Source organism: Homo sapiens, chromosome 12, assembly GCF_000001405.40.
Source record: "Homo sapiens chromosome 12, GRCh38.p14 Primary Assembly".
NCBI lineage: Eukaryota > Metazoa > Chordata > Mammalia > Primates > Hominidae > Homo > Homo sapiens.
The window spans coordinates 67,380,487-67,403,875 of NC_000012.12; the positions used below are offsets into that span (position 1 = coordinate 67,380,487).

Below are 23,389 nucleotides of genomic sequence, written 5' to 3' on the forward strand. Positions count from 1 at the left end.
AGATAGATATATCTCCATATATATATATTTTTAACTTTAAGTTATGGGATACACGTGCAGAACGAGCAGGTTTGTTACGTAGGTATACATGTGCCATGGTGATTTGCTGCACCCATCAACCCATCATCTAGGTTTTAAGCCCCACATGCATTAGGTATTTGTCCCAATGCTCTTCCTCCCCTTGCCCCCCACCTGCCAGCAGGCCCCGGTGTGTGAGGTTCCCCTCCCTGTGTCCATGTGTTCTCATTGTTCAACTCCCACTTATGAGTGAGAACATACGGTGTTTGGTTTTCTGTTCCTGTGTTAGTTTGCTGAGAATGATGGCTTCCAGCTTCATCCATGTCCCTGCAAAGGACATGAACGCATTCTTTTTTATGGCTGCATTGTATTCCACCCATGGAGAGATTTTCGTGAAAAACAGCATCGACTTGGCCCAGTTCAGAAATTCAGAACAAGCAGATGGCAAAATGGAGGGCTTGGTCCTGCCTCAGTTGCGTCCCCCGCTGTTTGTGTCAGTGACTGCAAAGCATGGCTGGCAACAGCACTAGCCAAAGGCTTGTCATCACATGGGTCGAAGTTACATCTGTAAAGTATTTAACATCTGATTTAAAGCAAGAGCATTCTGCAAGAAGTATATCATACTGCGAGTTTTGGTTTAAAACTCTCTTGGTACCAGTGCAGGCTCCATTAGTTATTAGCCTTGTAAACCTGAGAAAGTTGACCTCTCTGAGCTTCAGTTTGCTTATCTGTAAAAGGAGAATAGTACTTCAAAGGGCTGATGTAAAAATTAAATGACATAATGCAAGACAATCGATTGACATAGTAAACTCTTGGTAAGTCTTCACTATTATTATTAATAGTACACATGCATCCATTTGATGCTTATAAAGACTTGTGAGTAAACACCAGTAAGAATGGTTGTCTTGCTGGATAATTAGGTAGAGGAGAATTCTAATTTAAGTAGGTTCAATATATCAGCATTTTAATTTTCAAAACTGGAAAAAGCAATATGGGGTTGTCTTAACCCCTAAGAGATAGGTCAATTGCCAGGGATGAAAGGGGGGCACACCCACATGCCTTTTGATTCATATGACCGCCACCTGGACTGGGGCTTACAAGCTATGCATTGAGAAATTACTGAATTCCACTATGTGCTTTACCCTACTGTCTTGTTCAATCCTTGAAGTAATCCTAGGAAGTGGATGCTGTTACAAACCATCTCCAGTCTACAGATGAGGAAACCGAGGCTGAGTAATTTGTCATTGCTACAGTCACATGGCTAATAAGTGTCAGAGCTGACATTCAAATCTGCCTCAATCCACACTGTGAGCACGGGATCACCAAGCTATACTACCTTTGACAGTGTCTGGACCCCCCAACATTCCCTGGAGGTCTAAGGAGCAGGGTTATTCAGGTCTGTAACCATTCACTGTAATAGCACCTCCTGACTTTAGTTACGTAGGGTCGTCATATAATTTTAAGGAAAGTAATTATAATAGGCATTATATATGGGCTTGCTCTGTGCTAGATAGTACAAACAGAACCTTATAACATATATCTCCACAATGACCCACAAAGTAGATATTATTATTCCTTTACTACAGATGAGAAAAAAGGCCCAGGGAGGTTAAGTAATTTTCCCAAGGCTCAGAGCAAGTTGCAGGAATAGGAAATACTACCTCTGAAGTGTTAATGTATGACAGTGGGAATCAGGCCCTCATCAAAGGGCTATTTTGGAAACTCGCAGTTGCTGGCAAGTGAGAGATGCTTCTGTACCTTCAAATCCCGTGAATTCAGCCATGGGAACTTAGGGAAACTAAAAGTTCTTCCAGTGGAGAGATTTGGGGATAGAGAGCTTGTGAAAACCAAAGCCACAAAGGATCTGAGTAATAGTGAAAACCAAAGTCACAGAGGACCTTGCTCCATTAGAAGAATTCAATAACAGTTGTGTAACAAGTTGTTTACAATAAAAATATGCTCACATTTATGGATTTTTCCCCTCACATTTGATGAAATATTCAAGACATTTTCTCAGAAAGGCATGAGTAACACCTAGAAAGAAAAGAAAAACATGACATTTTTAGGTTAGATTGCAGCTTGTCACCATAGATTTTTAAAAAAAATCCTTTTAAAGCTTGCCAATTGACATAGGAAATTACGACTAAAAATAAAAGTGAGGTTGAAAAGGACAGAATGCAAAAGCCGCTAACCAAAACTATTCAGCTCGCTTCCCACACATTCTCTATGGGTAGTTCAGTCAACAGCATTTTAACTTTTTTTTAAAACTGCTTTAAAAAACTCTACAAAACAGACCATATTAATGATTAATTTTAATTTTCATTGCAGAAAATACATTAATGGTTGAGGCTTAAGTTGACTTAAAAAAAACTTCCAAAAATGATGATCAGTAACAAGGGGATGTCAATGATAGACCAGCCTTTGGCATCTGCCTCCCTTTTGAGATCTGAAATGGCCCAGGTGAAAACTGCTAATGTGCAGGACAATAGACATTCTGGAGATAAACAGTCTTGTTTTGTAGCTCTTCTTTTTAGTTGTAAGATGCAGAATCAGGGCCAGGCACGGTGGCTCATGCCTGTAATCCCAGCACTTTGGGAGGCTGAGGCGGGCGGATCACGAGGTCAGGAGATCGAGACCATCCTGGCTAACACGGTGAAACCCCGTCTCTACTAAAAAATACAAAAAAACAATTAGCCGGTCGTGGTGGCAGTCACCTGTAGTCCCAGCTACTCAGGAGGCTGAGGCAGGAGAATGGTGTGAACCCAGGAGGCGGAGCTTGCAGTGAGCCGAGATTGTGCCACTTCACTCCAGCTGGGGCGACAGAGCGAGACTCCGTCTCAAAAAAAAAAAACCCCAAAAAACAAAAAAACAAAACAAAACAAAAAGATGCAGAATCAATCTCCTGTGAATTGGGACAGGTAGAGAAGCCTCTTGCATTTCAGTGCTTGCTCTTCTTGTATCTCTGCTTTAACTCTAATGTTCTCTAGTTTTTCCAAAATCATGTGCTTTATGTTTGCACGTATGGGGAAAGAAAACAAAACAAACAAACACAAAAACCAGGGCAAGTGGAAGGCAAGCTCAAGGCAGTCTTTTGAACCAGAAATTTGTGCTCTAACCAAAAAAGGATGTCTAGGGGTTAACATTACTATTATGTAACTATGTCATAACAATTAGTAGCCATAATTTTTTGAGCGTTTAGTATTTGCCAGGTATTGCCCTAAATCCTTTAATTTATTATCTAATTTCTCATCTGATGGATGAGGAACTAGAAGCTCAGAGAGGTTAAATGACGCTTCCAGGGTCATGGAGCTGGTGGGGGCTGTGATCTGATGTTGGGCCTGACTGTGTTGTAAAATCTAAGAATCCAAGCTCAGGGATCAGGCGACTTGGATTTACCACTTACAATTGTGTCATCTGGGAAAAGTTACATGAACTCTTTGTGCATCTGCTTCCTCAACTGTAAAATGATGGTGACAATAGTGCCCACCTACTTCAAGTTTAGTTACTCAATAAATGTCAGTTATAGCCAGCATTCTAAAGCTCATGTTCTTGATCAGTTCACCCTGCACCAAACTGAAGCAAGAGTCTGTGTTGATAGTGCAAAAGGTGAATTCTGTCTGAAATTCAGACTCCTTACTTCTAGCAGGTTGCTATCCTGCCCTCCAAATTTGCGTCTTTTTTTTCAATATATACTTAATGTCTGAGTGAGCACATCCTTATAGAACATCAAGAGTTATTATAGAATGAGGTTCCAACCAGCAAAGACTATGCTGGACAAATTCAAACTGGATTTTACTTTTTTCTTTTACATAAAAAAAAGTCAAGTCTTGGGTTTTAATTACATTTTGGTTTTAAAAATGGAATAAACTATCACAAAATTTTCCCCCAAGAAATTGTTTTCTAAGTACATAAGTGATACGTTAATACAACCTGTGGTAAAAAAAAAAAAAATCATTAAACACAGGAGTGTACACAATACGAAGTGCAAGTTCCTCTTTAATCCATTCCAACTCGACCTCCTGCCCACTCCAGAGGCAACCATTGATAGTAGCTTTTTTTGTATCATTGCAGATTGTTTTCTGGGCATTAAGATGTAGGTAAATATGCTCCTGTGGCTATTTTCAACCACAAATGGGATAAGACTTGACATAATTTATTATTTTTTTAAATGACTGCTCTGCCGGATGAAATTCAAACTCATCATTGTAGTAATGAAGACCCTTTATTATATTTGATTAATAATAATAATAATAGTATTATTATTATTGCCCTCCTCTCCCCCATCATTCCTGCTCCCTGACTAATGCACTCTCTTTAGGAAAATCCCCCTGCTATCTCCTGAGTGAGACCTGGCCACCACCACCTTTATAGATTTGCTATTATGGCTTCCTATGCGGGAATATGCATCCCTGCTTTCTCCACCTTTGGCCCATTAGCCCATTCTTTAGGGGCCAGCCAGGTCCTCTTTTCTCAGGAGGCCTCTTAGACTCCTCTTATCTCCCAAGATTACCCAGCACTGACGGTCTTTCCCTTGAGCCGTGTACATTGTTGTATTCTATTTAACAGGTCAAGGCCTGAGGAAGCGCATTGCTACTTCTGCATATGTTGTCTCCTCAATAGAATTTTATGTTCCTTTAGTTTCAAACTGTATCTTATGCCATCTTCTGTTCTTCCTATGGTCTTTGGCATAGATAATAGCCATTAAGACATACTTGAACTAAATTGTTTTAAAGTAGGGCAGACCAAAGAAGGTCTTTGAATGTTATGCTGGTGGTTTAAGATGATTAATAATTTTGCTGTAAGCAGCTTTTAGTGTATTCATTTTAGAAAACATTGAATAAGAGGTGCTATCCTTAGTCCATATTCCTAGGATGTTCTACATTGCCTGGGGGTGGGTGGTCCTTGCAACATAAAGGAATGTTGAGAACTAAATTAATACTTTTAATATTTCCCACTATATGGCAAGTATTTTTTATTTCTACATTATTTATTTATTTATTGAGATAGAGTCTTGGTCTGTTGCCTAGGCTGGAGTGCAAGTGGCTGCAATCTCGACTCACTGCAGCTTCCACCTCCTGGGTTCAAACAATTCTTGCATCTTAGCCTCCCTAGTAGCTGGGATGAGAGGCGTGCACCACCATGACGGGCTAATTTTTGTATTTTTAATAGAGACCGGGTCTCACTATGTTGGCCAGGCTGGTCTTGAACTCCTGGCCTCAAGTGATCCACCCACCTCGGCCTCTCATATTGCTGGGATTACAGGCCTGAGCCACCACACTCAGCCAATTCTACATTTTTTTTCCACTTTAGTCAGGGTACACTGGCCACATAAAAACTAAAATAAAAGTCAATTAGGTGGTTATGGCAAAGGAATTGTGTAATCAGTTATAAAATTACCATTTGTGACTGAGAAGAAAAATTCATCAATTTCAGCTACCTTACAAATACAAACAGGGTCTTAAAACATAATATCCAGTGAAGCTTAGCTGGGACAAAGCTGAAGCAATGTAACCGTGGAAAACAAGTGAATTACTAGAAATTATTTATAATTTTTATTTCTATTAAAGTATTTTTAGTAACTAAATCCAGATTAATTGACCAATTTTGGCAAATTACTGGTGTTACTGAAAATTCAAATTTATTGGAACCGTAAGTGTTAAACTTAAGTGACTATGTTTGACTTAATAGATTTACTAAGGTAAACCTTCAAGAAACTGTGCTACAGAGTTAGTTATTTTAGTAATCCTTTAAATTCTGTTACAGTAATCTTGTTGAGGGTGGAGCTAGATTCTTTGGACTGGAATTTAGGTGTTTAATAAGTGGGTGGTAAACTGAGCTTTGGAACTCTTTTCTTTATGGCAAAAATTTGAATCCATGTGATTTTTAAATCTTTTCTTCCTAAAAGACCTAAAGCATTTTTTCTCTTTGTTTTTTTTGAAATTCAGTACATATAATTTTTTCAGTAAATGTTCTTGCCTGTATTTTTCAATAATTAGAGGCTTCTGCATTAATTTCTCACATTTAGAGACTTCTGCATTAATTCCTTATATGTGAAGCATTCTTTGTAAACTGGTATTCCATTATAGAAATAAATTAGTTACTGATGGATAGAACCTTCATAACCAGAATGCTGTAGAAACACATCATCAATTTTTTCTCCTTAGCACATTTAAAAAGCATTAAAATAAATGGCAAAGAACTTTCTAAATGTTTATGACTTCGGTTTATGCATGTGGGCTAATGGAATTAAAGGCTAATCCATCAGTTAGCTCTTGCTGCATTTAATTAGCCTGGATCACTTCATCCTACACTGGAAATAACTTCTCTCTTTTCTCTTTTCCTTAGGACAAACAAGGTAAAATTAACAGTAGCAGGAAATAGTTCCCTTAAATTTAGGGTTAATGTAAATAGAGAGAAAAATAAGCTTACTGCAGAGAACAAATAAGGAGCACCTACAGCCAGCAGCCGCTCTTGAACCTCTAAATAGGTTATTTCAATTTGAGATTTTGTCTTCTTCCTTGTATCATTGCTACCTTATTTCATCTGTGATATTACATCAGTTGTGTCCTGAGATGGGCCACTGATATGGAGAGAAGTGTGCAGTATTTAGACAGCAAGACTCATGGATTCATGTTCTTATTTATAGAGAACAATTTTGTATTCTTATTTCTAAAATTAGGCAGCATCTTATATTTTTAAAATGCTCTGCAATCAGTATTAGTTGTTCATGTTACAAATTTGACAACCAAAATGTTGCACTTGGTTCTAGACTATGTAGAGTAACAGCGCCGTTTTTAACAGGAGAAACCCCACGATTGTGATGTCTGATGGAAAACATATGTTCATTAACTGCTACATCAAATTACATAATAAAAGTGACTTCTATCTTGGGCAATAAAGGAGGCAGCTGACTATATCTTTTTTTTTTTTTCCATCCAGGCTTGCTTTCTGGCATTCTGCTCCAGAAAAGAACTGGGAATTGATTGGAAGCAGTTTGGTGGTATAGACATCTGGGTTCTAGTGTCAAGTTAGCAATTAGAGAATTGTGTCAATTTAAGAAAGTAATTTAACCTCTGTTGGATTCATTTTTCTCAACTCAAATAAAGTGAGAGGTTCTTTCCAGATTAGCAGCTTTCAAACTGTCCTGAGTAAAGATTTCGCAGTTCTGAATTCTATGGGTTGTTCTGGAAGCTCTTGTGCTGGGGGCCAGGGCAAGAGCAAGGATGGGAGGAGGCCCTGAAGAAGTGGGTCTTCAAGACCTCCCAGTGAGTGGGAAACTCTGCTATTAATTTTATTTACTGGGCCTCTCTTTTGGGGAGTTGGGGAAAGTTTCTTCTTTTAAAAAGAGGTTGGAAAAACTCCATCCAAGACAATGTCTAGGTTTCCCTCCAGTGTTTTAATTTTATAATTTGAATTATAAACTGGCAACATGAATTAAAAATGAGTATAATTTAAAAAATAAATGCCTTTAGAAGAACATAGTAATTCCTGTCCATTTGTGCCTTGGGGTTTTATATATGCCCATGATGAATGATGCATACTGCACACAGTGGGAGGGCAATGTCATAGTTAAATGACATTCTTTTGGCTAATTGCTGTCTATGATATATATCTCTGTGAATCTGATGAAGCCAAACAGGCTACACTTGAAGTGACTTGTATTGAATTTGGTGCATATAAACAGTTTTTTCAGTTAACATGGTCCTATCTTAAATCAATTTCATTTTAATTGGGACCATTTTGTTTTGATGAACTCAATTACCAATACATAGTGTTTTCTTAGCCTGATTTGTTAAGTTTTAAATTTCCTTACAGATATTTGCAGACAAAAATATTAAAAAGAAAGCACCAAAGTTTATAGAAATGATGACAGTGAAGGAAAAGAAGAAAAATAAAAATTTAGCAAAAGGAAATTTAAAATATACCCAGAATACACAGAACTGTGTGGCACTTAATTCATTGTGTGCTTAAAGACTACCTGAGATTGGTGCCATTTGCAGAAGACACTTTGAGACTCTTCTCTGGTTTGGAAAACTGATGCTGTGACCTAGATATGGAGTAGAGAGACAATTAAGGAGGGGGCGAGGGAGAGAGGAGTCCTATTTCATTTCCTTGTGGTTTCAGATCTTGCATCTGCCACCTGCCTGCAGGGTTCCCGGGGTCTCAAGCCTGCTTGAACTTATCTGTCTTAGTTTGCATGGGAGGTGAGAAGGCAACCTGTGTGTTTTTATCATTACACTGTCCCCTGTGCTTTCACTTGCTTCCATGCAAACTTGTCCTTTAAATCTATTAATACTTTGCCCTCAAGAAATCTGCCCCCAGTTGGAGGAGGGACTTTGAGGTCAGGATTTTCTGTGCTTGAGTTTAGGAGGGTCTCAGCAGCCAATAGTCAGGAAATGCCACTGCAGCCAAACAGAGACAATAAATCTCCAAGCCACCCAGTGTAATGCAATCTCCCACCACACGGGAAAAGGTCAGGTTTGAACAGTAAATAAATTCCTGTCACACAGCAGCATGTCTGTTCAGGTTAGATAGTAAATCTTCATGAAGAGAAGTAACCACATACCACAATTCTATTTCTATGATCCTGGACTTCATTAGTTAATTTTTACACAGCTGGTCTTCTCTTCTGTGAGGCTTAGGCCTTACCGTTCTCACATGTAAAGACCTCCCAGGACACAGAGGCTGGATGAAGTGGGCTGGGTGGGCCTCCGGAGGATTCTGAATTCTGTTTATAGAGTATAAGCTCAAATACCCTTGAAAGGAAGAAAATTTTGATTTACAGTCTGTCCATATTTAATGGAAGACAGGAGATCATTGATGTTTCCTTTGGTATATAAAATTCCTTACAAATTTTTGTAAAAAACCTTTTAGAATGCTGTAAATGGAAAAATCTCCAGCATGTTACAATATATTACACTCAATTTCCTTTACCTTAACAGTCTAGAGGTTAGCAGCTGGAGTCAAACAGCTGAAGTCTCAATTCTGATTCTTTAGCCAGCCATTCGGCATTTGTTAAGCTATCATGCTGTAAAGATACAAAGATGAATCAAGTTGGCTGCCTCAGAGAACTCACAGCCTGGCTGAAAAGAAAGACACAGAAAAAATCATTAAAATGTAAATCCTAAGTGCTATAACCAAGCTTTTCCCAAAGGGCAATAGGAACATAGGGGAAGAAGCCACCAATTTCCTGGAAAATTTGAAAAGGCTTCACTGGCTGGGTGCGGTGGCTCATGCCTGTAATCCCAGTACTTTGGGAGGCTGAGGCGGGCAGATCACAAGGTCAGGAGTTCGAGACCGGCCTGGCCAACATAGTGAAACCCCTGTCTCTACTAAAAATACAAAAAAATAGCTGGGTGTGGTAGCGGGCACCTGTAATCTTAGCTACTTGGGAGGCTGAGGCAGGAGAATAGCTTGAACCTGGGATGCAAAGGTTGCAGTGAGTCGAGATCGTGCCATTGCACTCCAGCCCCGGCGACAGTGCTAGACTCCATCTAAAAAAAAAAAAAAAAAAAAAAAGAAAGGCTTCACCAATGAAGTTGTACCTGGGCAGATTCCTGGGGGAATGAGTAGTTTTTTTCTTGATAGAAAAGGAAAGGAAATGGAAGTACATTACAGATAGAGGAAAGGCTCTATGCAGAGGCTGTGTTAGTCTGTTCTAGCATTGCTATAAAGAAATACCTGAGACTGGGTAATTTATACAGAAATTAGGTTTAATTGGCTCATGGTGCTGCAGCCCGTTTAGGAAGCATAGTGGTTTCCTAAGGTTTCCTAAGAAGCCTCCCCTGAGGCTTCTGGGGAGCCTTAGGAAACTTAAATCATGGGGGAAGGTGAAGCAGAAGCCGGCATGTCACATGGTGGGAGCAGGAGGAAGAGAAAGATGGTCAGGTGCTACACACTTTTAAATGATCAGATCTTGGGATGACTAACTGTTGTCATGACAGCACCAAGGGGGATGGTGTTAAACCGTGAGAAACTGTCCTCATGATCCAATCACCTCCCAGGGATGTATATTCCAGATAGAGGAAAGGCTGTATACAGAGGCCTAGAGATGTAAAGGAGCAGGACATGTATTAGTAAGTGTGAGGATTTCAATATGGTGTGAACTTACGGTATATGCTGGGAAGTGGTAGAAGACGCAACTTGAAAGATCAGAATGGTTCAGGTTAAGTCCAAAGGCATTCATGCCAGAGACAAAGTTCTAGCAGATTTCTTCTTGTCCCTGATGGCCAAGTGTAAGGCAAGATCAGGCCTCTTTCTATCCCTAAGATATACCCTTCTCTCTGCAAACTGGAGCATATCTTGGCATAGCCAGATGAACTGTAGTACTTCATTGAAGTTTCCTTGCTTTGAACTCTGATCATAAAAAATTTCTTAAATGGCAGTGCTTTTTAGAGGACGCCCTTGTCTTTGACTTTCTTCACCATTTCCATTTGACAGATGTGTCAAGAATGACAGTTTTCAGAATATAAGACCATATCCTTGAGATGATCCAAGAGCTACTGGAATAATTTTTGTGTCATATTTTGGCAACATTATTTTGTGTTTGTGTTTTCATTGGGGCAATTCATTTTCAAAATCTAGACTGAATTTTTTTAAAATTTTATTTCTCAACACCAGGCATTTGTTTTATAGCTCCCATAAATCAGTGCAAAGAGAAGGTCACAAGGGAGTAAGCTTTCTGAGATATGTCAACGGAGTATTGCTTCACCAGAATTTGAGTTCTCACCACTAGCAAGCAAGATCTTACCAATTCATGGGTTGCACACTGAAACATGAGTTCAGGCCAATTACATCCACCTGCTTGTTCAGGGATTAAAATGTTTGCACTGTATCATGAGAATTTCTAAAATTAGTGCTGAAAGGACACTTGTACACACAAGAAGAGCCTTTTCTTTTCTTTTTTTCTTGTACAGGAATTCTGTTGGATGTAAAATGGATTTCCAACAGGATGGAAGATGCTGAAATGCATTTCTGAGGATCCCCACCACGCCCCTTCCCCTTGGATATTTTGATCTGAATGCAGGGATTCATTCATTTAATCTACCAACAGACATAGGCTGAATTCCTCCTGTGTCATAAGATTGGGGATATAGTGTGAATAAGACAGATAGGTCCCAGACCCCATGGAACTGCAGCCTAATTTTATTTAAGTAAATACACGAGACAATTAGAGGTTGAAGATTGTAGGCAGTACAATCTTCAGGTGAAGTGAGAGATGATAACTCAGTTGTTGGTGGTCAAGGAAGGTTTCTGAGGAAGTTACATATAAGTTGAGGCCTGAGGAATGAGGCATGAGAAGAGACAGGAAAGAGCATTTCAGACAGAGTAGGCAGAATGTGCAAAGGCCCTGAGGCAGGAAAGGGCTTGGACTTTTTGAGGAACAGAAAGGAGAGGAATGCAGATAGAATGGCTTTGTATCAGAGTATCAGAAAGGGAGGTCTAGTATGGCAAGTTCCTGTCTTAAACATCTAGCCATTAGTCAGGTTGGACTTGCTCTAGATGATGGAGGCATCAGCTTTGAGCTGACTTCCACCTGTTGGCCCGTGAAACTTGGCTAATCCTCGCAAATAGAAATGGGTGCTCACTATTCTAGATGCCCTTGGTACGTTGCAGCTTTATGTGGCCCTTATTCCAAGTTGCCTAGTGTGACAGCTATACTGGAGGTGGAGTTATTATGACATGAGTATCAACAGTTTTACTACCGGCTGGGTGCAGTGGCTCACGCCTGTAATCCCAGCATTTTGGGAGGCTGAGGCGGGTTGATCACTTGAGGTTGGGAGTTTGAGACGTGCCTGGCTGACATGGCGAAACCCTGTCTTTATGAAAAATATAAAAATTAGCTGGGCATGGTGGCGCATGCCTGTAATCCCAGCTCCTTGGGAGACTGAGGCACAAGAATCACTTGAGCCCTGGAGGCAGAGGTTGTAGTGAGCTGAGGTCATGCCACTGTACTGCAGCCTGGGTCACAGAGCGAGACTGTCTCAAAAAAAAAAAAAAAAAAAAGGCTTTACTGCCTTTCCTTGGCCCCCTAATAAAGCAGGGGGCACTTGATTGGGGAACAGCCTCCAGGCCTGGACTTATAATGACCAGAATAATAGAGCTACAGAGGCTCAACAAAACCTCGAATGGCTAGAAAGGGACTAGAGCTATGCTTAAAATAACACATTTACTTGGGATGTTAGACTAAGAAAGGGAGTTGGGCGAGAGAAAGAAAATTCAAAATCCTTGCTGGCACTGGGATGGGAGGAAAAGAGATTTGATGGAAGCAGAAGTTCTGAAAAGTGGGACTATGAAGAAAAGATCTTTAGGACAACTACTGTGGGTTGTACAATGTAATGTCTGTTAAGTGCTTCTTTGAGAGATTTCAGTACATTTATAAATTCCTTTTCAGTATTTAAACACTTGCTTCAATATCATCTGGTGTGAGTATAAGTGCACCATATTTCTGATACATGAGGTGGTTCTAGATTTGTTGTATCACTGAGCTTTTCTCTTTTTCTTTTACCTATGCCACTGCTAATGCATATTTCTGGAGGAAAGGAAATGTAAAGAATACTTTGCCTATAGTGGATAGTAATAAAGATTTGAACTAATAATGAATGAGCATGCATATACGTTAGTTGATAAAAGAAAATATTGTTCCTTTCTTCAAAAAAAGATGTTGTTTTGGAATATGCCCAGAAATCAGGATCTAAGTAATGCCAGAAAGAAAAAAAATATGTAAAAGGATTTTTCTGGGAGAAGCAAGTGAATTATATCAGTTGCCAAACTACACTCTAGGTGAGCAAGAGTTAAGATGAGAGAGCTGTAAACAGGCAACATTTTTAAGCACAACACTGAATCATTCCAAATAATCTAGCAACATCTTAAACAGCTCTAAAAGGACAGCAGATATTCTAATGTATTATCAAAACGAAATTGGATGTTTTTGAACAAAGCAACAAATGGCTGTGTAAAGCAGTCTAAAGCACAGTCAAGACAAATTGGCTAATGTAAACTTCAGCAGTGACCAAAACCTGTTTTTATAAAGACTCAACACATTGATAAAAAGCAATTTTCTGGGGAGCTGGGTGTGATGGCATATGCTTGTAGTCCCAGGTATTCAGGAGGCTGAGGCAGGAGGATCTCTTAAGCCCAGAGTTTGAATCTAGCCTGGGCAACACAGTGAGATCCCCATCCCTGAAAAAAAACTTTAAATAATTTGTTTAAATTTGTAAAGAGCCCATAGTGGCAAAATTTTATTTCACACTTGCTGAGAGCAAACAGATCTTGCAGGACAATCCAAAGATTTACTATTGGCTGTGCATGGTGGCTCATGCCTGTAATCCCAGCAATATGGGAGGCTGAGCTGAGGCGGGTGGATCACTTGAGTCCAGGAGTTCGAGACCATCCTGGGTAACATAGCAAAACCCTGTTTCTATTAAAAAAAAAAAAAAATTAGCCAGGTGTGATGGTGTGCATCTATGGTCCCAGCTACTCGGGAGGCTGAGGTGGGAGGATCACCTGAGCCCCAGGAGGTTGAGGCTGCAGTGAGCCAAGCCATGATTGTACCACTGCCCTCTAGCCTGGGTGACAGAGTGAGACCCTCTCTCAAAAACAAAACAAACAACAACAAAACCCAAAGATTTACTTTGGGTAAGGACATTTTGTAGAAAAAGAGAATGGTTAGATATGATTAGATAATCTGTGTTCACTGAATATAATAAATGCTACATCTCTTTCAATACCATCAGGTTCCTGACAAACACGCAGCCGGAGATATGGGAAGTAAGTTCTCAAAAGGGATCTTAATCTAATTAAAGTTTATCATAAAATTGCTTCAGCATTTCTATTCAGGAATGGTAATTTTTTTTTTCCCCCAGAAGAAGGTTGTAAAGAACCTTGTAAAGTGATTTTTGTCCCAGACTGTGTTAGGGACATTTTTCTCCATAGATTAATAAAGAAAATATTTTTTCAGTCATATTAGTATGCATAGATAAACATAGTTTTCCTCTTCAGCAACTGGGATTATCCCAGCAGTAACTTCTGTCTTATTGGCTAGGTCCAACCAGGGTTTTGTCCAGAGGATGTGCCAGATTATGCTAGGATGTTCTCTGGAGCAGCTAAAAGCACATGTAGTTTGTGGTGAATGCAATTTCAGGGAACCAAGGCTTAATCCCAGAGATACAATAATATCAGGCATTGGACAGAGGAGCAAAGTCAGAGACAGCAGCTGAGAAGTTGAGAGCTGGCGTCATTAGAACAGGCTGGGAAATATGAGTGTGAGGCATGTCTCGGCAGGAAGGTCCAGCATTGGCCGGGGAACAAAGCAGACTTCTTGGCATGCCCTCTCGCTGAGGCTATGTGAACTGCTGGGCAGGCCGGCCTGCTTAAAGGTAAGGGCTTCAAATTGGGACAGATGCTGGGTGTTACACTGGGTGAAACTCACCGTTTGGCTGTTCACTTTATGCATATATTTGCAAAATTTCCCACGTCTCTCCTTAATTTATGAACCCATTTTCTATTCTAAACTTCACACAGTCTATCACAACTTCCCTTGGACTTTTCTAGTTTATTTTTTCAATGTCTTCACCCTGGCATACTAATCAGTCCTGCTGTGCTCTATGCAATGATCTACAAGTTTTTAGTAGAAAGCCTCAGCAATACTAGTTGGCTTGATTATTAAATGTGTTCTTCCTTCCAGGAAGTACAGAGGTACAAATAAACAGTGGGTGTACAAATATGAGGGGAGAGAAAATGGGAGCATAAATTGAGACCCTTTCCAACAGCATCTCATTGGAGCACTGCAGTGAATTTTAGAGCACATTATTTGAGCGTTAGTGATAAGTGGAATAGGCTTTGGAGGAAAATGATGGGGAAATTTGAAGAATTGAAAAATTGGGACCTATGTCTATGGGTTAAGAGAATTAGAAATGGTTGACTTAAAAGTAGAAAAGCCTGAGGGATGAGGTCATATGAAAGCATAATCTGAGGGAATATGTTGTTGGGGGTGGCCTTTGCGAAAACAAGACACATCTTCCTGGAATATCAATTTATTCAAATATTCCAGAAGAGAGGGGAGAGGAAGAAATTATTTTAGTGGGAATCAGTTATAGCTATATCATGGAGTAGAGTGTAAAATGCTAAAAAATTGTTAATATAAAATACAAACTTAAAAAAACTCAAGCTTTTGTCTGAGCTGTTACGGTTTTGGCTCCTGGGTCCTAGATATATAGGTTTAATTTCTTTAGTCGTTAGGAGGCATTTGAGTGTTTAATTACAATAGGGAGGATGGTGACCAACTTTCTGTGAGCCTGATAGAACTAAAATTATAGGTTACATAAAGAGTTTTAACTTAAATACAAAGGAGGACTTTTATTGAGGGTTATTATGATAAATCAGATTAGCAAAATGAGTTTAGGAACATTTAGGAGTGTATTCCTTACCTTGGAGAAAAAAGTAACATGGAGAACAACTGCGATGTTATCCTCTAAAGCCTTTGGTGGGCTTCTCTCTCCCGTAGAGTCCTGGCTGGTGCGTGGTTTTTTCCTTCTGGTGGGGCTTCTTTGCTGAAGTGGAATCGTGGTTAACAGGCCCCTTGCTGAGGGTCCCAGGGGACAGGATTGAGGCAGCTTTTTCCAGAGTGTTTTATATTTAGACTATCTGGAAACAAATTTTCAAATTACCACGGTAGGAGTCCTGGGTATTTTTATACCAATAAATTCTCTGATTCTAATGACAAGAGAAATACTATGGATTGAAGTGAAAAGTAAATGTCATGTTCCTTCTCAGTCTTATCTTCCAGAAATAACTACCAATAGTGCTTTCTTACGTATTCTTCTACAGATTTTCTTTTCTTTCTTTCTTTTTTTTTTTTCTGAGATGGAGTCTTGCTCTGTGGCCAGGCTGGAGCGCAGTGGCAGGATCTCGGCTCACTGCAACCTCCGCCTCCTGGATTCAAGCGATTCTCCTGCCTAAGCCTCCTGAGTAGCTGGGATTATAGGCACCCACCACCACTCCTGGCTAATTTTTGTAATTGTTTGTTTGTTTGTTTTGAGATGGAATTTCGCTCTGTAGCCCAGGCTTGAGTACGGTGGTGCAATCTCAGCTCACTGCAACCTCTGCTTCCTGGGTTCAAGCGATTCTCCTGCCTCAGCCTCCCGAGTAGCTGGGACTACAGGTGCGTGCTACCATGCCCGGCTAATTTTTTTGTATTTTTAGTAGAGGCGGGGTTTCACAGTGTTAGCCAGGATGGTCTCGATCTCCTGACCTCGTGATCTGCCTGCCTCGGCCTCCCAAAGTGCTGGGGTTACAGGCATCAGCTACCGCGCCCAGCCTCTTCCACAGATTTTCTATGCATGTACTAGGAGATACACACGCACCCATCCACGCGCAAACATATACACACACGTGATCATATTATTTACATTTTTTCAACTTTTTCATTTTTTAAATGAAAATGCTTTTTTCATTTAAAATGTCTAAAACATTTACCACACAATTTTCCCCTTTATTCTTTCTCTAGCATTAGACATCTGTAGAGAATTCCATCATGTGGTTGTACATTCGTTTCTCAAACAATCTCATATTGCAGGATATTGAAGTTGCGTGGCAGATGCAGCAAGTTGTCATTTCTACTTCTTTCTGATGAGAACTCTGACTTTGTTCAAGATGGTAATATTCTCAACTAAACCTATTAGCCTCCCCAGGATCCCATGCAGGTAGGGGTGGCACGTGACACTGTCTGGGCTCAATGGAATTACAGTATTCCATTGTTACTGGTGGAGGGTGTCCAGGTTCTTGGCATCTTGAACAAAGAATTGGACAAAACACACAAACAAAGCAAGGAAAGAATGAAGCAACAAAAGCAAAGATTTATTGAAAATGAATGTATACTCCACAGGGTGGGTGCTGGCCGAGCATAGGGGCTCAAAAGCCTGGTTCCAGAATTGTCTGGGGTTTAAATACCCTCTAGAGGTTTCCCACTGGTTCCTTTGTGTACACCCTAGGTAAATGAAGTGGGTCCCACAATCAGAGGCTGACGTGAAGTTACAAAGGTTACATTCTATGCAAGTGTCTGAATGGTTGTGGAAAGCAACCCATCAGAGGCTGAAGTAAAGTTACAAAAGTTACACTCCTATGCTTTCTGCAACCAATCAGAGATATGTTCAATTTTCCATCTGCCAGGCAGAAAAAGTGGGTGGAGGGTTTGCAAAGGAAGTAGGCTTCCACACTTTTGTTTCTTAGTTGTGGAAAGTTGGGGTTTTCCTTTTGATTTAGTCCTAAGAAGTCAATGTGAATCGATCTTAGGTTCTCTGCCTCCAGACCCTATTCTCCTGCCTCACCATTGTATGGGCACATCATAATTTATTTAGCCAGTCAGGGAAAGCTGACTAAGTTTGGACATAGAGTTTGTTTTTGAATCATTGCTATTACAAAATAAGCTTCAATCATAGTTCATCTGCTTGATTCTTTCCTTAGATTAAAAAATCAAGTTTGTGTGGTGGTATTTTGAGCAGAGGCTGGTGGGTAGGGAAGGTGTTTTGGGGTGGGGAGCCGCCATCTTTTTAGTCTGTGTATTCTGCAGGCTTATTCTCCAGGATTTTGTTGGAAATATAGGTTGACTCAGTGGTAACTCATGCATTGCCAACGCAATTTTCACAGTTTATCGTACCTTCATTTTCTTGATGGCTTCTCCTTGGTCCCTTCCTTGCCTGCCTGCTTCTGGCATCTGTGGCCAGAGGTCAACTTCCGGTCAATGTCTAGGAGAGTCTGGATGTTACTGCCATTTTCATTCTGCCTGGCTCTCTCTGATAATTTCAGCATGACTGGGTTAAAAGAGAAGGATGAGTAAAGTCAGTCCCTCTCGTGGGGAGCAAGTTCATCCAGGCTGCAGACAAATTTATTCTGTTGCATCTTGATATCCAAGGTGAAAGAAATTGAGGTTACACATCATAGGTAGAGAGAAAACAGAATTCTAAAATATTCCTAAGCAGCTTCACTTTGTTGAACATATATTGCAGCATAGATATGGACAGCAGTGATAATCAAGATACCTAATAATCAGAAGATGTGGATACCACTTATCAGAATGGATGCTGGCATTAAATAACCAGCATGGCTATACCTATGTGAACCAACTGAATATCAGCTGTGGTACAGGAAAATGGGATTTTCCTTCCTTTTATCCTCAGGAACTAAATTATGAAATTCTTGCCAGCTGGACTTCATCTCAGCAGTTTATTATCTCTCCTAACCAGTTTGTGAAAATGAATCTTCCTAAATTCCCCCTTAAAATAATCTCTCTTTGATTAAATCATCAATGGATATTTATTTTTTTAAAGGTCCAAAATTAACTTGGATGTATTGGTCAGAACTCTTTGGATTGCAAGTGGCAGAGTCCAATTAAGACTATATTAAACACAATGGGAGGTTTTTAGTTTCCGTTACTGGGAAGCGCAGGATGGAAGACTTCAGGCATATTTGGATTCAAGCTCAAAGGTATAGTTAAGACTCCTTAATAATTATCTTCATCCCTCTTTATATGCTAGCCTCATTCTCTTCATTGGCAGATCGTGTTCTTCCAATTTGGTGGGTAGAGCCATACTCATGGACAAGCAACTTTTGCACTCACCAAGGTTCTGGCACCGAGAAAGGCCCTGAGTACAGACACTTGAACAAGCCCAGCTCCTACTCCCTGAGCCAGACTCCAATCAGCAGAACCTTCCAGCTGACTTACAAGCAAAAATCAATCCTTATTGTGTTTGAGATTAATCCTTATTGTGTATTGTATTGTGGGGACTATTTGTTATATAGTGTTAGTATGGCAATAGCTAATAAATACATGTCACCATGATTAGTCTTCCAATGCCTTGCCATACTTTTTGAGCTCTATAGAGCATGGAATGTAAAGTGTTTCTCTCCTATTCTCCAATTGCACTTAGTACAATGCCTTGCATTTCATACTTGGCTGATAAATTTTTTTTTATTAATAGCTACTTCCTTATTACTCTGCTACTTGTCTTGGTGATATGTCTTAAGTTGCTTTTCTGTAGTTAATGACTTCATCCCCATTTTACTGAACTTGTGATCCCACCTCCATTGAGACTGTTCTTGAATTGCCCACCGATGACCTCTAGGCTGCTGATTACAGTCACATCACTTCCTCCCCTTTCCTGGCATCTCTACAGCATTAGGTGCAGTTGGCTATTCCTTTCTTTACAGAACACTTTGGTCTTCTGGCTTTTGTGGCACTACACTTGCTTGGTTTATTTTCCACCTCTCAGGCTGCTTTTTTGCAGACTAGTTTGATGGATCCTCTTTCTTCTTATTATTCTGAACAATGGAATATCCCAGGGCTTATGACTTGGGATTTTTTTCTTCACTTTTCTTTCTGTTCTTCTCTCCCTTGATGACCTCATTTATTCTTATGGCATCAAGTAGCATTTTTATGTTGATAACCCCAAATATTGCTTTCCAGCACTGACTTGCCCAAGTCTATCTGCCTACCTGATATCTCCACTTGGGTGTCCAAATGGTATCTCAAACCTAACACGATTAAGGACAATCTTTATTCTTTACCAACCTCCCCATCTGTTTCTATTCAGCAGACTCCATTTCAGTAAGTGGCCTCACACCACCACCCAGTTGCTCAAGCCACAAATCTAGACATTATTCTCATTCCCTCTATTCCCTTATTCCCACATCCATCTCTCAGCATGTCCTGCCAATTCTATTTCAAAGTCTGCCCCGAATTCTTCCACTTTTCTTCATCTTTACTACTATCCTAAGGCAAGTACACCACCATCTCTTGCCGAGAGGACTCTAATGGTTTCTGTATTGATTTTCCATTATTATCTCCTAACAATTCATTCTTCCTAAAGAAGCCAGAACACAATATTAAAAATGTAGGTCAGGTCATGTTTATGTTATTCTCCTGATTTAATGCCCCCCATCATCTGTCTTTTTGTCAAACTTAGAATAAAATCCAAATGCAGCAAAGTCCTTTCTTGAAAAGCCCTCAGCACATGACCCTCACCTGCCTCTCTGTACATACCTCTTATCATCCTCACATCATGCACAGGCTTCAGACACACCAAGCTTCTTTCTGCTCCCTGACATTTGTTCCTACCATAGGTCCTTTGCATGAACATTTTCCCCTCTCTGGAATGTACTCCTTGTTGATCTCTGCGTGACTGTCTCTCATCGTCCAGATCAACTTTAATTCACCTTCTCAGAGAGGCCTTTCCTAGACCAACCTAATCATGTTAGGTTTGAGAATTAAATGAGTCTGTGTGAGTGTGTGCATGTTACTGGAAGAAAGACATACCTTAGTCGTGAAATTTCCTGAAGGACAAATGAATCCCCAATCATCCTCTATAATTAAATACCTGTTATGGACAGTTGGAGAAACTGGATATGACAAATGGGTCAGTAACATTAACTGCTGGGTTGCCTTCTTGGTGAGCCGCTTGTGTCAAGTTTGCCAGACGTGGCTGAGGTGGATGTCATCGTTATTTGTTTCTCTGTTACTGCTGGAGTCTTCAGATAGGGTAAGAAAATGTTTGACTCTGGGCTTGTGTATGTAACCAGTATTTAGAAAAAGCAAGTGTGATTTAATAAAAATATAGCTCAGCATCATAAGACAGGGTGAAAAATAAGTAAATAAAAATAAAAATATAGCTTTCCTTTTCCCTTCCTCTGTCCTGTGACTTTTCTACTGATTCTTAGGGAATAAACAGTTCTATCTCTGGTCACTTTAAGTTGGAAATTGTCTCCATTCAGAAATTAAGAGTGTTCAGTCCAGGATCTCTGAATTGGAGTTAATGTCAAATATTCGCTCCTCTCTTGGCTGTCTTCCCCAGGCTGGAAGCTTGCTGGGGAGAAAGGGTGCAGGGTTGGTGGCTGCTGCTTCTTTATTTCTCTTTCTCTGGCTTTTCCTCCTGTCTCAAACCAGCTCGCTGGCCAGCTTCTAATGTCTCCAGGATAGGTGTGCCAGGGAGGGAAGAGGAATGAGGAATGGGGAAGGCTGTCGTGTGAACATGCTGCAGACCTGGCAGGATGTTGAAGTGAACTTGACCTTCATGGGCTTTTCCATAGCTGGGCTCTGCTCTGCTCACCTCCTCCTCCTTTGTCTCAAGCTGATGCATCTATAGCAGGGTTGATAAAGTATGGCCTGTAGGCTCCATCCAACCTGCCACCTGTTTTTGTCAATAGTTTTACCTGCACATAGACACATCCATTTGTTTACACATTGCTTATGGCTGCTTTTGTGCAATAACCAAACAGTTGAGTAGTTGCTACAAAGGCGGTACAGCCCTCAAAGCCTGAAATATTTACTATCTGACCCTTTCCAGAGAAATATTGCTGACCTCTCCTTGAGAATTTGTATGGTCATTTCCAACTCTTTCTGGAATGAGTAGACATCCAATTTTCCCTTCCAGCTTCTTGTTGATAGATTCCTTCTAGCCCTTTGGGAAGTCCTAGGTTGACCTCCATTGGATTTCTCTCAAGGCCCGCTCTGTCCAAGGGAACCATTCATGTATCCCTTGCCCTCGCTGTAGAAGTACAGATGACCTGTCCACAGGCCTGTTAAGCTCAAGGTGGAGCCTTAAGGATAGGGGTGGAAACAGACATTCATAGTATGGCAATAACTCTCTAAAAATTCTTTTAAACCCTTCACCTTTGTATATCCTTAATCTGGCTGAGCATCTAAACATCATAAGCTAAGTTCGATAATTCTTTGTAAATCTTGTACATATGCAGTATGTTGTATTCATTTTGACATCCTATATTTGTAAGGGTGGGTACCTCAGTTCAAACTTCAATGTTAACATCCTGCAAAACACAATAATCTACATTGCTGGGCAAGTAGGTAATCATGAAGTTAGATTAAAACAATTTGATAAAGGTTTCAATGACCCCAAACATTTCCCTATTATGGGTCAGCGACTCTATCATTTCGGAAAGATTTCTTTGGAATTTTATTTAGGTGTAGCCAGCTTTTAAGTGTGTATATTCCATGTTACATGAATTTACTTGAAGGCTGAATTAGCAAAATGTTTTCAAATTCTAAACTCTTTTCAAATCTCCTTAAAAATTAAAAGAAATTATTATTTTGTGTAAATGATAAGAATTTTTTGTAAAAACATTCAGATACTGTATTTTGATGTTAATTTTAAATAACTCAATGTTCAACTATATAACAATAGGTTTTATTTTTCTAATTTAGTATGTAATACAAGATATTTAATTTTCTTTAACTTACATAAAAACTTACAAAAATATAAAGTTATAAGTGACATATTTTGTTTATGGAGCAAACACTATTAGATGGAAATAATTTAAAAGTATGACATAAAAATATACCAAATTTTTAAAGGCATCTGATGCTCAAATTCTTAAGATTTGGGCTATAAAAATTAACTTGTTAATTTTAAAATGGAGACATGAGATGCTTGCCTCTAAGCATATAACATATGGCATTTTACAAGAGAGATAAACAACCTGGTAGCATTTGGCTGTCAGAATTAACTGCTGGATTCACAAAAATTAAATACATCTTGGTGGTGGGTCAAGGTTCTAGTGACCTGGGATATGACTCTCAGTGGCGTATGTTTATGTCAGTTAAGCTGTTCAAGCAAAACCATTTTTAGTCCAGCAGTCACTTTCATGTTGTCCACCTTCAGAGGGAACAGAAGGACAAATGTTAAGTGGAAACTCAGACTCTTCCATCTCACAATCTATTTTCTGCTTCTGTCATTGGATTCTGTACTTTTCTTGAACCAGAGAAATAAAGAAAAGATCATTCTGGGCTCTGTGTTTGCTATCAAATGTGAGATCAGGACTCTAATTGGATCAGTCCAAGGCATCCCCTTTAAGAAAGAAATAATGTACTATATCAATACCCCTAAAGCACCAGTGGGACAAAAGAGCCCAGCTAAAATCTGAACAGGTGTGAGATGTGTTTCTTTTCAATGAAAGGTGGTGGCGAAGAGGAGTATATAAGTTTTTTTAAAAAGTGACAACAATCTGAGAAAATTTTTATTTTTTTATTTTTATTTTATTTTTTGCTGAGAAGGAGTCTTGGTCTGTCGCCCAGGCTGGAGTGCAGTGGCACAATCTCAGCTCACTACAAGCTCCGCCTTCTGGGTTCACGTCATTCTCCTGCCTCAGCCTCCCGAGTAGCTGGGACTACAGGTGCCTGCCACCACGCCTGGCTAATTTTTGTATTTTTTTTAGTAGAGACAGCGTTTCACTGTGTTAACCAGGATGGTCTCGATCTCCTAACCTCGTGATCTGCCCACCTCAGCCTCCCAAAGTGCTGGGATTACAGGTGTGAGCCACCACGCCTGGCGAGAATATTTTTATACTTCTAGATTTTTTTTCC

The 23,389-nt window shown here is 39.9% G+C and overlaps 2 long non-coding RNA genes across 3 annotated transcripts in view; one reads left to right on the forward strand and one right to left on the reverse strand.

The window, feature by feature from the left end:
* Positions 1–494: 494 nt before the first annotated feature.
* On the reverse strand, positions 495–8,056 carry LOC105369813 (uncharacterized). The gene is made up of 3 exons (XR_945047.3): positions 7,997–8,056; positions 1,983–2,052; positions 495–583 (listed from the first exon to the last, which is right to left on the reverse strand). It is a non-coding gene; the product is annotated as an uncharacterized LOC105369813 (long non-coding RNA).
* A 5,841-nt stretch (positions 8,057–13,897) lies between these two features.
* The window catches only part of LOC105369812 (uncharacterized), an 86,311-nt gene continuing 76,819 nt past the window's right edge, over positions 13,898–23,389 (forward strand). For both annotated transcript variants that reach the window (XR_001749186.2, XR_945043.3), the window contains exon 1: positions 13,898–14,396. This is a non-coding gene — a long non-coding RNA (uncharacterized LOC105369812). The remainder of the gene's footprint in view (positions 14,397–23,389) is intronic.